The sequence below is a fragment of the Homo sapiens genome, chromosome Y, assembly GCF_000001405.40.
Source record: "Homo sapiens chromosome Y, GRCh38.p14 Primary Assembly".
NCBI classification, from domain to species: Eukaryota; Metazoa; Chordata; class Mammalia; order Primates; family Hominidae; genus Homo; species Homo sapiens.
The window spans coordinates 754850-769936 of NC_000024.10; the positions used below are offsets into that span (position 1 = coordinate 754850).

The 15087-nt window shown below is 47.1% G+C and overlaps 1 annotated feature.

The window, feature by feature from the left end:
• Nucleotides 11815-11981: a silencer, noted in NCBI's record as "fragment chrX:727399-727565 (GRCh37/hg19 assembly coordinates)". NCBI's record gives its function as "represses an EF-1alpha promoter that drives an FKBP-Casp9 reporter gene in an ReSE screen in K562 erythroleukemia cells {active_cell/tissue: K562}" and the evidence as "EXISTENCE:reporter gene assay evidence [ECO:0000049][PMID:32094911]".

The following is a 15087-nucleotide window of genomic DNA, read 5'->3' on the forward strand; positions in this document are numbered from 1 at the left end:
TGGCTAAGTTTTGTATTTTTGGTAGAGTTGGGTGTTTTTGTGTGTGTCATTCAGGCTGGGTTCAAGCAATCCACCTGTCTCGGGCTCTCAAAGTGCTGGGACTAACAGGCGTGAACCACTGCACCCAGCCTGGGTCTAAATTATATTCTACCTGTAGGCAGGACAGATAGAATAGAATTTAGAGATGGGTTAGAATAGCATTTAGAGATGGATTATTTTTTGTTTGTTTGATTTTGCTATAGGGCAGGGTGCTCAAAAGCAGCTGTGAGTCTGTTTAGATAACAGTGGACAGGCCGGGTGGGGTGGCTGATGCCTGTAATCCGGCACTTTGGGAGGCCGAGGCGGGCGGATCACGAGGTCAGGAGATTGGGACCATCCTGGCTAACACGGTGAAACCCCATCTCTACTAATACAAAAAATTAGCTGGGCGTGGTGGCGGGCACCTGTAGTCCCAGCTACTCAGGAGGTTAAGGCAGGAGAATGGTGTGAACCTGGGAGTGGAGCTTGCAGTGAGCCAAGATCGCACCACTGCACTCTAGCCTGTGGGACTGAGTGAGACTCTGTCTCAAAAAAAAAAAAAACAAAACAAAAAAATGTCATACGCAGGAGTGGCAAGTGGCAATTCTTTTTTTTTTTTTTTTTTTTTTTTTTTTTTTTTTTTGAGACGGAGTCTAGCTCTGTTGCCCAGGCAGGAGTGCAGTGGCACGATCTTGGCTCACTGCAACCTCCATCTCCCGGGTTCACGCCATTCTCCTGCCTCAGCCTCCCAAGTAGCTGGGATTACAGGTGTGCACCATTATGTCGAGCTAACTTTTGTATTTTTAGTAGAGATGGGGTTTCACCATGTTGGCCAGGCTGGTCTCGAACTCCTGACCTCAAATGATCCACCCACCTCGGCCTCCCAAAATGCTGGGATTACAGGCGTGAGCCGCTGCACCCAGCCTACTTTTACAGTGTCCAGGACAATGTCATTTTCACTGAAATATAATTAATTCCATTCTTCTTCAAGGTATTACATGTAAGAAGTTGAAAGGTCACCTTGTTTGTGTATGGATTATTGGTGGCTGAACTGCCTCTGAAATTCCTCTGTCATTGAGAAGAGCAGGGGTAGGTGTTCTGAGGGTGTAGAGAGGTGAAAGGAACAACCCGTAGTGGAGTTAATCCCAGGACCGTAGGTGACCCAGGGTTGATAAAGTCATCTGTGAGAAGTAAATGATATAAACAGGGTCAGGTCAACCTGTACAGGACTATGAACTTAATACACTTTACCTTAATAGACTGCTTCCTTGCTGTGATGAGTTCATGAAGTAGAAAGGGTGTCACCAGCCCACAGCCTGCACAGGACCAGGACTTCAATGCACTTGACCTCTCATTCCCTGAGTGAGGAACCCATGAAATGAGGGGGAGTCTCACCAGCTCAGAACCTGCACAGGACTAGGACCTCAACACACTTGACCGTTCTTTCCCTGTGTGAGGAATATATGAAGTGAGGAGGAATCTCACCAGCCCAGAGCCTGCACAGGATGAGGACCTCAATACACTTGTCCACTCTTTCCCTGTGTGAGGAATATATGAAGTGACAAGTGTGTCTCCAGCCCAGAGCCTACACATGACTAGGACCTCAATACACTTGACTTCTCCCTCCTCATGTGAGGAATAGATGAAGTGACGAGGGTCTCATCAGCCCACAACCTCCACAGGACCAGGACCTCAATACACTTGACTTCTCCTTCCCCATGTGAGGAATAGATGAAGTCACGAGGGTGTCACCAGCCCACAGTCTGCACAGGATGAGGACCTCAATACACTTTAACACTCTTTCCCTGTGTGAGGAATATATGAAGTCACGAGGGTGTCATCAGCCCAGAGCCTGCACATGACTAGGACTTCAATACACTTGACTTCTCCTTCCCCATCTGGGGAATAGATGAAGTCATGAGGGTGTCACCACTCCAGAGCCTGCCCAGGACCAGGACCTCAATACACTTGACCACTCTTTCCCTGTGTGAAGAATACATGAAGTGAGGAGGGTGTCACCACCCCAGAGCCTGCCCAGGACCAGGACCTCAATACACTTGACCACTCTTTCCCTGTGTGAGGAATACATGAAGTGATGAGGGTGTCACCAGCACAGAACCTACACATGACTAGGACCTCGATACACTTGACTTCTCCCTCCTCATGTGAGGAATAGATGAAGACACGAGGGTGTCACCAGCCCAGAGCCTGCACAGGACCAGGACCTCAATACACTTGGCCCCTCCTTCCCTGTGTGAGGAAGATATGAAGTGAGAGGTTCTCATTAGCCCAGAGCCTGCACCAGACAAGGACCTCAATATGCTTGGCCTCTCCTTCCTCATGTGAGGAATATATGAAATGAGAAAGGTCTCACCAGCCCAGAGCCTCCACAGGATCAGGACCTCAATACACTTGACCTGTCCTTCCCTGTGTGAGGAATAGATGAAGTGAAAATGGTCTCATCAGCCCAGAGCCTGCATTTTCATTCCACTCTTCCAATTTGGCCACAACACTGTAGAGTTGGACAGTCCCAGAGCCCCCCAAAATAGTCACTGAAGCCAAAATATCAGGAAGAGAAGAACTAGCTGTCTTTTCTATGCCATATTTTATCAGTGCAGACAGCTTTGAGGCTGATGTTCAAAGAATCCAAAAAAGGTAAGCATTTAATTATTTGTCCTTAATTGTAATACTCATTAAGGATTCCACCTTTATCATTAGCATATCATAAGATATCTTTCTTATGCAGATGAAAGTTGTGGAGATTCACTCTCTAGACAGCATTTAGTGAGATTAGGGTACTCAACCTACATCCATATCAAGGTAGCAGAAACGCATCTGAGAAAATTTAACCACTTATTTTGCCATGGTTCATGGAGATGACCTTAAGTGTGTCTGTCACCAAAAGGGACTTTGTAGGGTGAGAGTGATATAGTACATTGTCAAGGGAAGTTTGCTGATATCTAAGGCTGTTTTCTGGAATCTCCCTGTTGTGAGGAATCTATAAGGTGAGGAGGGCGTCATCAGCCCAGATCCTACACAGGACTAGGGACTCAATACACTTGACCTGTCCTCCTCTGCATGAGATCTGATGTCTCCATATCTTTTCCTGGTATGGCTCACAACCGAAACTTCACCTGAGTACAACAAAAACCCAGCCATGTTTTGCTGGGGCCACATCACATCCTTCCCATGATGGATTCTTTGGCCCAGTTTCCAGGGAGTATTCTTGGGTTTATCATATGTAGATACAGTCCTTGTTACCTCGACCTTAAAGCATCTTTGGCTGGGTGCAGTGGCTCATACCTTGATCCCAGCACTTTGGGAGGCCGAGGTGGGTGGATCACTTGAGGCTAGGAGATCAAGACCAGCCTGGACAACATGGTGAAACCCTGTCTCTACTAAAAATACAAAAAAAAATGAGCTGGGATTGGTGGTGTGCACCTGCAGTCCCAGCTACTGGGGAGGTTGAGGCAAGAGAATTGCTTGAACCCAGGAGGTGGAGGTTTCAGTGAGCTGAGATCATGTCAGTGTACTCCAGCCTGAGCAACAGAGTGAGATTCAGTTTTGTTTTTTTGTTTTTGTTTTTGTTTTTGTTTTTTTGAGACAGAATCTCACTCTGTCCCCCAGCTGGAGTGCAGTGGCGCGATCTCGGCTCACTGCAACCTCCACCTCCCGGGTTCACGCCATTCTCCTGCCTCAGCCTCCCAAGTAGCTGGGACTAAAGGTGCCCACCACCAAGCCCGGCTAATTTTTTGTACTTTTAGTAGAGATGGGGTTTTACCGTGTCAGCTAGGATGGTCTTGATCTCCTGACCTTGTGATCTGCCCACCTGTGCCTCCCAAAGTGCTGGGATGACAGGCGTGAGCCACTGCGCCTGGTGAGATTCAGTCTTAAAAACAAAAAAACGAAAAGAAAAAGAAAAAAGAAAGCATCCAGGTGATCTTCCCTATGGGTCATAGATGTCTTCACCCAGGGTGAATGTAGAACCGTGCACACCCAGACAATGCTGAGAATGAAGTGTGTAGGACTCAGATACAGATGATCTCAGGTAGAGGCTGCAGCTAGAAGCATTATTAAAGGTCCACATTAGCTTTCCCTCCCCTTCTCCCTGGGATGCTGCTACCCTCATTGAAGCTTCAGCCACCACATGCTCTCTACCGAGACGGCAGCTTCCCAAAGTGCTCCTCAACTCCCATCCTTGACTTCTTCCAGTCATTCTCCACGTAGCAGCTAATATTCTTTGAAGTCAAATTACGTCATTCTCATGCCTCTAAGGTAGGAAGCAGGACATGACCGCAGAGGCAGGGCTAAGACACTGGACCAGGTTGAGGACTAGCTAAAGCAGGTCTAGGGCAGAAGCAGCTCTCCATTAGTGATGTGGTTTGGCTGTGTCCCTACCCAAATCTCATCTCGAATTGTAGCTCCCATAATTCCCATGTGTTGTGGAAGATAATTTCATCATGGAGGCAGTTCCCCCATACTGTTCTTGTGGAAGTGAATAAGTCTCATGAGATCTGATGGTTTTAGAAGGGTAAATCTGTTTCATGTGGTTCTCATTCTCTTCTTGCCTGCCGCCATGTAAGAAGTCCCTTGCTCTTGCGCGATGATCGTGAGGTTTCCCCAGCCAAGTGGAAGTGTAAGTCCATTAAACCTCTTTCCTGTATAAATTATGCAGTCTTGGATATGTCTTTATTGGCAGCATGAGAACAGACAAATACGAAAGGACACACCCACCAGTACCATGTCATGCTACAAATACAATAAGACACACCCACCTGGTCCCATTTCCATGACAACACCCAGATGTTACTGCTCCTTTCCATGGCAATGACCCAATGACCCAGAAGGGGGTATATTTTTTTTCTAGAAATTACTGCAAAACCTGCCCCTTAATTTGCATGTAATTGGAAGCATTGATAAATATGATTGTGGAACTGCCTCTGAGCTGCTACTCTGGACTCAGTGCCCATGGGTAAGCCTGCTCTGCAAAGACCAGCACCTCTGCTGCTGCTGTGAACTGCCACTTCATAACAGTTGGTGGGACTGTCAATTAGTTCAACCACCGTGGAAGACAGCGTGGCAATTCCTCAAGGATCTAGAACCAGAAATAGCATTTGACCCAGCAATCCCATGACTGGGTACACACCCAAAGGATTATAAATCATTCCACTATAAACACGCATGCATGCGTGTCTTTATTGCGGCACTGTTCACAATAGCAAAGACTTGGAACCAACCTAAATGCCCATCAATGATAGACTGGATGAAGAAAATGTGGCACATAGACACCATGGAATACTATGTGGCCATCAAAAAGAATGAGTTCATGTCCTTTACAGGGACATGGATGAAGCTGGAAACCATCATTCTCAGCAAACTAACATAGGAACAGAAACCAAACACTGCATGTTCTCACTCATAAGTGGGAGTTGAACAATGAGAACACATGGACACAGGGAAGGGAACATCACACACTGGGGCCTGTCAGGGGATGGGGGGTTAGGGGAGGGATATCATTAGAAGAAATACCTAATGTAGATCATGGGTTGGTGGGTGCAGCAAGCCGCCATGTCATGTGTATACTTATGTAACAAAACTGCACTTTCTGCCCATGTACCCCAGAACTTAAAGTATAATAATAATAAAAAAAAGTTGGTGTCTAACACCACCAGCTCACTCTTGAGTTATTTTCTAGATGAGACCAAAAACCCTTCCAGGCTAAGCCCCAATTTGGGGCTCACCTGCCCAGCGCCATCTCCAACCTTCACCTTCAATTTCTTCTGTTTCTTCCCCGGGACATGGAATAAATCCACCCTGGACTTTGAGCCCCAGATATGGGGATGTAGCAAACTTCTCAGGCTCCCACCCACAGTGTGCCCACTCTGCAGCTCCTTTTTCCATGTCCCTAACACTCTTAGCTCTTTCCAGCCTCCAGGTGCTGGACGTGGTGGGTGCCTCTCCCTGTAGTTCCCTCTCCAGCTCATATGTGGCTCTTTCTCTCTCTTCTTCTTCTTCTTCTTCTCCTCCTTCTCCTTCTCCTCCTCCTCCTCCTCTTCCTCCTTTTCCTCCTTTTCCTCCTTCTCCTTGTCCTTCCCTCCTCCTCCTTCTCCTCCTTCTCCTCCTCCTCCTCTTCTTTCTCCTCCTCTTCCTTCTCCTCCTCCTTCTCCTCGTCCTTCTCCTTCTCCTCCTCCTTCTCCTTCTCCTCGTCCTTCCCTCCTCCTCCTCCTCTTCTTTCTCCTCCTCTTCCTTCTCCTCATCCTTCTCCTCCTCCTCCTTCTCCTCCTCCTCATCCTTCTCCTCCTCCTTCTCATCCTTCTCCTCCTCCTCCTCGTCCTTCTCCTTCTCCTCCTTCTCCTCCTCCTCCTTCTCCTCCTCCTCATCCTTCTCCTCCTCCTTCTCATCCTTCTCCTCCTCCTCCTTGTCCTTCTCCTTCTCCTCCTTCTCCTCCTCCTCCTACTCCTCCTCCTCCTTCTCCCCGTACTTCTCCTTCTCCTCCTCCTCCTTCTCCTCCTCCTTTTCCTTCTCCTTCTTCTTGTTTTTTTGTTCTTCTTCCTCTCTCCACCCCACCCCTCATCCTTCCACAGTCTGGGGAGCTTAAACAACAAATATTTATATTCTCTGTTCTGGAGATCAGAAGTTTGAGATGAAGGTGTCTCAGGATTGCACTTCCTCTGCAGGCTTTAGGGGAGGATGCTTCCTGCCACTCCCAGCTCCTGGGGGGTCCAGGCGTCCCTGGGCTTGTGGCCTCATCACTCCAGTCTCTGCCTCCATCTCCATGTGACCTTCTCCTCTGTGTCTGTGTCTCCTCTTCTGTCTCTTAGAAGGACACCTGTCATTGCATTTAGGGCCCAGCCTAATCCAGGATAACCTCATCTCAAACTCCTTCAGTTCACTGTATCTGCAAAGACCCTATTTTCAAATAAGTTCTCGTTCACAGATACTGGGAGCTTAAAACTACAGAAATTTATTCTCTCTCTGTCCTGGAGACCATGACTCTGAGATGAAGATATCTCAGGGCCGTGCTCCCTCCACAGTCTCTAGGGGAGGGTCCTTCCTGCCTCTCCCAGCTCCTGGGTGCTCCAGGCATCCCTGGCTTGTGGCCGCCTCACTCCAGTCTCTGCCTCCGTCTCCACGTGGCCTTCTCCTCTGTGTCTGTGTCTCCTCTTCTGTCTCTTAGAAGGACATTTACCATTGCATTTAGGGCCCATCCTAATCCAGGATTATCTCATCTCCAGATCCTTAATTACATCTACAAATAACCTTTTTCCAAATGAGGTCCCATTCCCAGGTTCCTGGGCTTAGGACATGGACATATCTTTTGGACGTCACCACCCAACCCATTGCAGTTGTGTTTTGTTCTTCCTGGAGGCTCTAGGGGAGGGTCCTTCCTGCCTCTCCCAGCTCCTGGGGGCTCCAGGCATCCCTGGGCTTGAGGCCCCATCACTCCAGTCTCTGCCTCTGTCTCCACGTGGCCTTCTCCTCTGTGTCTGTGTCTCCTCTTCTGTCTCTTAGAAGGACACCTGTCATTGCATTTAGGATCCACCCTAATCCAGAATGATGTCATTCTAACTTAACTGCATTGGTAAAGACTGTCTTTCCAAATAAGACGACGTTGCCTAGTTGTAGGGCTTTGGAGTTCAACATTTTTTTTTTTTTGGAGAGCCCCCTATTCAACCTGTAACATTAAATATTATATATTATTCCCCTCTTCAACCCATAACATCATATATTATATATTATAAATGGTTGTTCTTTCTACATTATCAACATATCATTATCTATTTATATTTTATAAGTGCTTTAGAAAGAAAGAAAATGAATGGGGTTATATGATGAATGAGTCAGCTGTGTTCATCCCTCCTGATGGAAAATGAAGGTGGCCAAAATGCTAAATTGAGAATTCATTTGTCCCCTAAAGATATAGCCTTAGTAGGCCAGCATGAGGCCATTTTCTTGTCTTCCTTTTCCGTTCATACGATGATCTATATTCTATTCTCCTTATACACTAACTCTGTGTGATCTTTGCCTAGATAAACTTTCATCAAACGACTAATGAACAGAAAGTTTAAAAAATAGATTAATCACCAAATAATTGCGTTCGGAGTGTGTCCAAGTATAGAAAAATCAGGGCATTCGCAGATAAGAACAGATTTCAATATTTATGAAGTACTTTTTCTATAATTAAGAAGAATTCTGCAAAAGATTTTTATTGTCATTATTCTTTTGAATCTTAATCCATAAATGGTTATCAAATCATTAAAAGAAAAATGTATAACCCCAACATGAATTATCTTTCCTTTGATGAGCCTGGCAGAATATCAGTCGTTTTAGGTGTTTGGATCACTTTTGAGGATACATAAATGGCATTAGAAGTTTTCAGTCTAATTATAAGTCTGAAAACAGGGGCAGAAAAGAAGAGACACAAACAAAAGAGGAAGACAAAAAGTGGAGTGAGAGACATTGTGACATCCAGATGATGGAGGGGAATGAGGCATTTGTGCATTATTACCTTGGAAGTTCTCTAAAGATGGAATATATTCTGTGTCATCGTGTAAGCCAAAAATGAAATCTTAAGGGTTTGAACCCATTGAACCTTTTTTTTTTTGAGATAGAGTCTTGCTCTGTCACCCAGGCTGGAGTGCAGTGGCACAATCTCGGCTCGCTGCAAGCTCCGCCTCCCGGGTTCAAGGGATTCTCCTGCCTCAGCCTCCCCAGTAGCTGGGACTACTGGCACATGCCACCACGCTCAGCTAATTTTTGTATTTTTGGTAGAGATGGGGTTTCACCATGTTGGTCAGGCTGGTCTTGGACTCTTGACCTCATGATCCGCCCGCCTCGGCCTCCCAAAGTGCTGGGATTACAGGTCTGAGTCACCACGCCTGGCCTGAACTGACCCTCTCTTAACCAAGGAGACTCCAGAGAAAAACTAGATTCCTGGCTGGGATGGTGAATATTGAGTGTCAACTTGATTGGATTGAAGAATGCAAAGTATTCATTGAGGCTGTGTCTGTGAGGTTCTTGCCAAAGGATATTCACACTGGAGCCAGTGGACTGAGAGAGGCAGACCCACCTTCTCTCTGGGTGGGCACCATCCCATCAGCTGCCAGCTGGGCTAGGATAGAAGCAGGCAGAGGTTGGTGGGAGGACTAGACTGGCTGAGTCTTCCGGCCTCCATCTTTCTCCCACGCTGGATGCTTCCTGCCTTTGACCATAGACTCCATCACGCTCCATCAGTTTTTAGACTATTGGATGTGCACCACTGGTTTGCCAGGGACTCTTGTCACCCAGGCTGGAGTGCAGTGGCACGATCTCGGCTCACTGCAAGCTCCGCCTCCCAGGTTCAAGTGATTCTCCTGCCTCAGCCTCCTGAGTACCTGGGACTACAGGCACCCGCCACCAAGCACGGCTAATTTTTTGTATTTTTAGTAGAGACGGGGTTTCAGCGTGTTAGCCAGGATGGTCTCGAAGTCTGCCCTGTTGGCCTCCCTGCTTTTGATGTTTTGGGATGTGGACGGGATTCACCACTGGCTTTCTGGCTTCTCAACTTGCAGATGGCCTGTTGTGGGATTTTCACCTTGTGATGGGGTGAGTCAATTCTCCTAATAAAATCCCCTTTATTTTATTTTGAGACGGAGTCTCACTCTGTTGCCAGGCTTGAGTGCAGTGGTGCAATCTCGGCTCACTGCAAGCTCTGCCTCTTGGGTTCAAGCGATTCTCCTGCCTCAGCCTCTGGAGTACCTGGGATTACAGGCGCCTGCCACCACGCCCAGCTAATTTTTTGTATTTTTAGTAGAGATGGGGTTTCACCATGTTGGTCAGGCTGGTCTCGAACTCCTGACCTTGTGATCCACCCGCCTCAGCCTCCCAAAGTGCAGGGATTACAGGCATGTGCCACCGCGCCCACCTAATTTTTTTGTATTTATAGTAGAGACGGGGTTTCTCCATGTTGGTCAGGTTGGTCTCGAACTCCTGACTTCAGGTGATCCACCTGTCTCAGCCTCCCAAAGTGCAGGGATGACAGGCGTGAGCCATTGCACCTGGCCAATAAACTCGCTTTTATATATTAATCAATCCTATTAGTTCTGTCCCTCTAGCCAACCCTGATTAATATGCTGGCCATGATGAAAATGGAGATCAGATAGCACTTGTTATACCTGGCACCCTTGGAGTTTAGGCCCAGCTGACCATTAATGTTGAAAAAAGGTAAATAAAGGTTAAAAAAGGGGGTCATAAGACACAAGAACATACTCTTGGCAGCAATAAGATACCAAATTCCTGCCTGACTCTGGTGTACCCTTATGTGACACAGAGCAGGACCTGGAGGAAATCTAAATATTTTACCCTAAAATGTATTTTTTTGGCCGGGTGCAGTGGCTCACGGCTGTAATCCCAGCACTTTGGGAGGCTGAGGTGGGTGGGTCACAGGGTCAGGAGTTTGAGACCAGCCTGACCAACATGGTGAAACTCCGTGTCTACTAAAAATACAAAAATTAGCCAGGTGTGGTGGCAGGCACCTGTCATGCCAGGTGGGTTTTACTCAGTCACCATTAATAAGACAAACCAACACAGGGAGGGGTCCATTGTGAAGCTGTAACTCAATTTTATAAACAAAATAATAAAAATAATACAAAAACATGAGACATTTGCTGCTGGAGAGAGGAAGAGAGAAAGAAAGGGGCAGACAGAAGACACACAAAATAAAAAACTTTGGAGGTTGGGTATGGTGGCTCCCGCTTGTCATCCCAACACTTTGGGAGACCGAGGCGGGAGGATCACTTGATTCCAGGAGTTTGACACCAGCCTGGGCAACACAGGGAGACTCCATCTCTACAATATATATATATATATATATATATATATATATATATATATATATTTTATTTTTTGACACTGAGTCTCGCTCTGTCGCCCAGGCTGGAGTGCAATGGCACAATCTCGGCTCACTGCAAGCTCCGCCTCCCGGGTTCACGCCTTTCTCCTGCCTCAGCCTCCCGAGTAGCTGGGACTACAGGTGCCCGCCACCACGCCCGGCTAATTTTTTTGTATTTTTAGTAGAGACGGGGTTTCACTGTGTTAGCCAGGATGGTCTCCATCTCCTGACCTCGTGATCCACCCACCTCGGCCTCCCAAAGTGCTGGGATTACAGGCGTGAGCCACGACACCCGGCCACAAAATATTTTTTAAAATGAGCAGGGCATGGTGGTGAGTGTCTATGGTTCCAGCTATAAGGAAAGTTGAGGTGGGAGGATCTCTTGAGCCCAGGAGTTTGAGACCAGCCTAGACAACATAGCAAGACCCCATCGCTATAAAAAAAATTACCCAGGCATGGTGGCATGCACTTGTAGTCCCAGCTACTCAGGCAGTTAAGGCGGGAGGATTGCTTTAGCCCAGGAGTTCCAGACAAGCCTGGGAAACATCACAAGACCTCATGTCTATAAAAAAATTTTAAAAATTATCCAGGCATGGTAGCACAAACCTGTAGTCCCAGCTACTCAGGCAGTTAAGGCAGGAGGATTGCTTTAGCCCAGGAGTTCCAGACAAGCCTGGGAAACATCACAAGACCTAATGTCTATAAAAAAATTTTAAAAATTATCCAGGCATGGTAGCACAAACCTGTAGTTCCAGCTGCTCAGGCAGTTAAGGCAGAAAAAATGCTTGAGCCTTGGAGTGTGAGAGCAGCCTGGAAAACATAGCAAGATCCCATGTCTATAATTTTTTTTTTTTTTTTTTTTTTTTGAGACGGAGTACCGCTCTGTCACTCAGGCTGGATTGCAGTGGCGCGATCTTGGCTCACTGCAAGCTCCACCTCCCGGGTTCACGCCATTCTCCTGCCTCAGCCTCCTGAGTAGCTGGGACTACAGGCGCCCACCACCATGCCTGGCTAATTTTTTTTTTTTTGTATAAAAATTTTTTAAAAAACATCCGGGCATGGTGGCATGCACCTGTAGTTCCAGCTTCTTACTCAGTTGAGGCAGAAGGATGACTTAAGCCCAGGAGTTGGAGGCTGCAGTGAGGCAGCCAGGATCATTTCCCTGCAGTCCAGCCTGGGTGACAGAGCAAGACCCTGAGAAAGAAGAAGGAAAGAAAAAAAGAAAGAAAGAAGGAAAAAAGAAAGAAAGAAAGAAAGAAAGAAAGAAAGAAAGAAAGAAAGAAAGAAAGAAAGAAAGAAAGAAAGAAAGAGAAAGAAAGAAAGAAAAGAGAAAGAAAGAAAAGGAAGGAAGGAGAGAAAGAAGAGAAAGAAAAGAAACAAAGAAGAAAGGAGAAAAGAAAAAAGGAATTATGGAAAAGAAAGCAGGGGGAGACGTTGGGAAGACAGCCAGAAAAGGCCCTGTCCTTTCCCCGGGCCCTGGCTGACCGTGTAATGGCAAATTGATATAGGGCTGCAGCCCTGTCCTTCATGGAAAGTGACTGAGAGATCTGTCAGGACCCGTGTGCGCATTTTGATCTGCAGAAAGATTGAATTAGGCAGGGGATTAGAGTGAGGAACATTGCGATGCTTGCCGTTGTGAAAACAAATGTCAGGTAGGCGTTCATTAGGCGGGCTGGGAGCAAGCCAGCTCTGTAGAAAGCACATTTATAGCCCACGAGGACACAGCATTTGACCTTGTCCCGTTGGAAGAAGCGGGGAGGGGGGTGGCGGATCCCAGGAGTTGATTTGTACGGCAGTGGCAATGAGTGGGTTGGGGGCTATTTGTTGAACGTCTCTGTGGGCTGTGGGCTTCTGTCTGCAGGGTTCTTTTGTTCCTGGTGTGTGTGCCATCTCATGCGTGCATAAGAACATACATGAATGCACACACACACGTACACACAGTGTGGTTACACATGCGTGCCTGGGAGGTGGCATATTCAGGTTTTGTCTTTGCTAGATTGTTACTCCAGCCATGCACAAGCTTTCACATGTGTGCAGTCATGCAAACATGCACACACATGCACACACACACATGCACACACAGTGTGGATACACATGCATGCCTGGGAGAAGGCATACGCAGATTTCTTCTTTGCTAGCTTCTTGCTGTGGCCATGCACAAACTCTCACATGTGTGCACTCATACAAACATGCACATACATGCATGCACACACAGTGTGCATACACATGCATGCCTGGGAGGAGGCATATGCAGATTTATTCTTTGCTAGCTTCTTGCAGTGGCCATGCACAAACTCTCACGTGTGTGTGCACTCATGCACACATGCACACTCACACACATATGCACACATGTGCATGCAAAGTGTGATTACACATGCAGTCTTAGGAAGAGGCATATACAGATTTCTTGTCTGCTAGATTCTTGCTCCAGGCATGCACAAGCTCTCACAAGTGTGCAGTCATGCAAACATACACACACACACATGCACACACAGTGTGCATACACATGCATGCCTGAGAGGAGGCATATGCAGATTTTTCTTTGCTAGATTCTTGCTGTGGCCATGCACAAGCTCTCACGTGTGTGTGCACTCATGCACACATGCGCACACACACACATCCACACACGTGCATGCACGCACAGTGTGGTTACATATGTGTGCCTGGGAGGTGGCATATGCAGATTTTGTCTTTGCTAGATTGTTACTCCAGCCATGCACAAGCTTTCACATGTGTGCAGTCATGCAAACATGCATATACATGCATGCACACACATGCACACACAGTGTGGATACACATGCGTGCCTGGGAGAAGGCATATGCAGATTTATTCTTTGCTAGCTTCTTGCTGTGGCCATGCAGAAGCACTCATGTCTATGTGCACACATGTACACGCACACACATCCACACATGTGCACGCACACACAGTGTGGTTAAACTTTTATGCCTGGGAGTTGGCACAGGCTAATTTTCTCTTTGCTAGATTCTTGCTCTGGCCACGCACAAGCTCTCACGTGTCTGTGCAGTCATGCAAACACACACACACGCAGTGCACAAGCTCTCACATGTGTGTGCAGCCATGCAAACACACACACACACATGCAGTGTCTATATGCACGACTGGCTGGGAAGAAATCCAGGTGAAATGCCTCTTTGCTTTGTGGTTCCCCTAAGCTCCATCTTGACCAGACACCTGACCTCAGTCAAATCCAGGAAAACAGTAAATCGGGTCAATTCTCAAGGGGGATCTTGTTTTTATCCAACTGACAACTACCAGATATGTATTTACTTGTTTGCAAGCGTGTTTTAATTAATTTATTTATTTATTTTTGAGACACAGTTTCATTCTATCTCTGCAGTGCCATGGCATGATCTCAGCTCACTGCAGTCTCTGCCTCCCAGGTTCAAGCAATTCTCCTGCCTCAGCCTCTGGAGTAGCTGAGATGACAAGCATGCACCACCACGCCCAGCTAATTTTTGTATTTTTGGTAGAGACTGGGCTGGTCTTGATCTCCTGACCTCAGGTGATCCACCTGCCTCGGCCTCCCAAAGTGCTGGGATTACAGGCATGAGCCACTGTGCCCGATCTATTTTGAAATTTTTATAGATTTTAGGGGTTTAAGTGCAATTTTGTTGCATGTGTAGATTGCAGAATGGTGAACTCAGAGATTTTAGTGTATCCATCACCCAAATAGTGTATATTGTACCCATTAAATAACTTCTCATCCGTCTGCTTCAGCCTCCCGAGTAGCAGGGATTACAAGTGTGTGCCAGCAAGCCCGTCTACTTTTTGTATTTTTTTTTTAAGAAGAAACAGGGTTTCACCATGTTGGCCAGGCTGGTCTCGGTCTCGAACGCCTGACCTCAGGTGATCTGCCCGCCTCGGCCTCCCAAAGTGCTGGGACGACAGGCATGAGCCCGCGTGCCCTGCTGCAGGTGTCTTTTTGATAGAATGACTTCTTTTCCTTTGGATAGATAACCAGGAGTGGAATTGTTCCATGGAAGGGTCGTTCTGTTTTCGGTTCTTTGAGAAATTTCCAGGTGTGTAAAACAAAAACCTCTGCCATTGCTTCCAGCCTGAGGTTTGGAATGTTTGGGGTGGGCAGCGGGAGAAAAATGGTGGAGAGGCCTCACATTGGCCCCAGCCAGCCTGAGGATATCCTACTGCACCTGCCAGGGGCCCTGTGGGACCTCCCTGC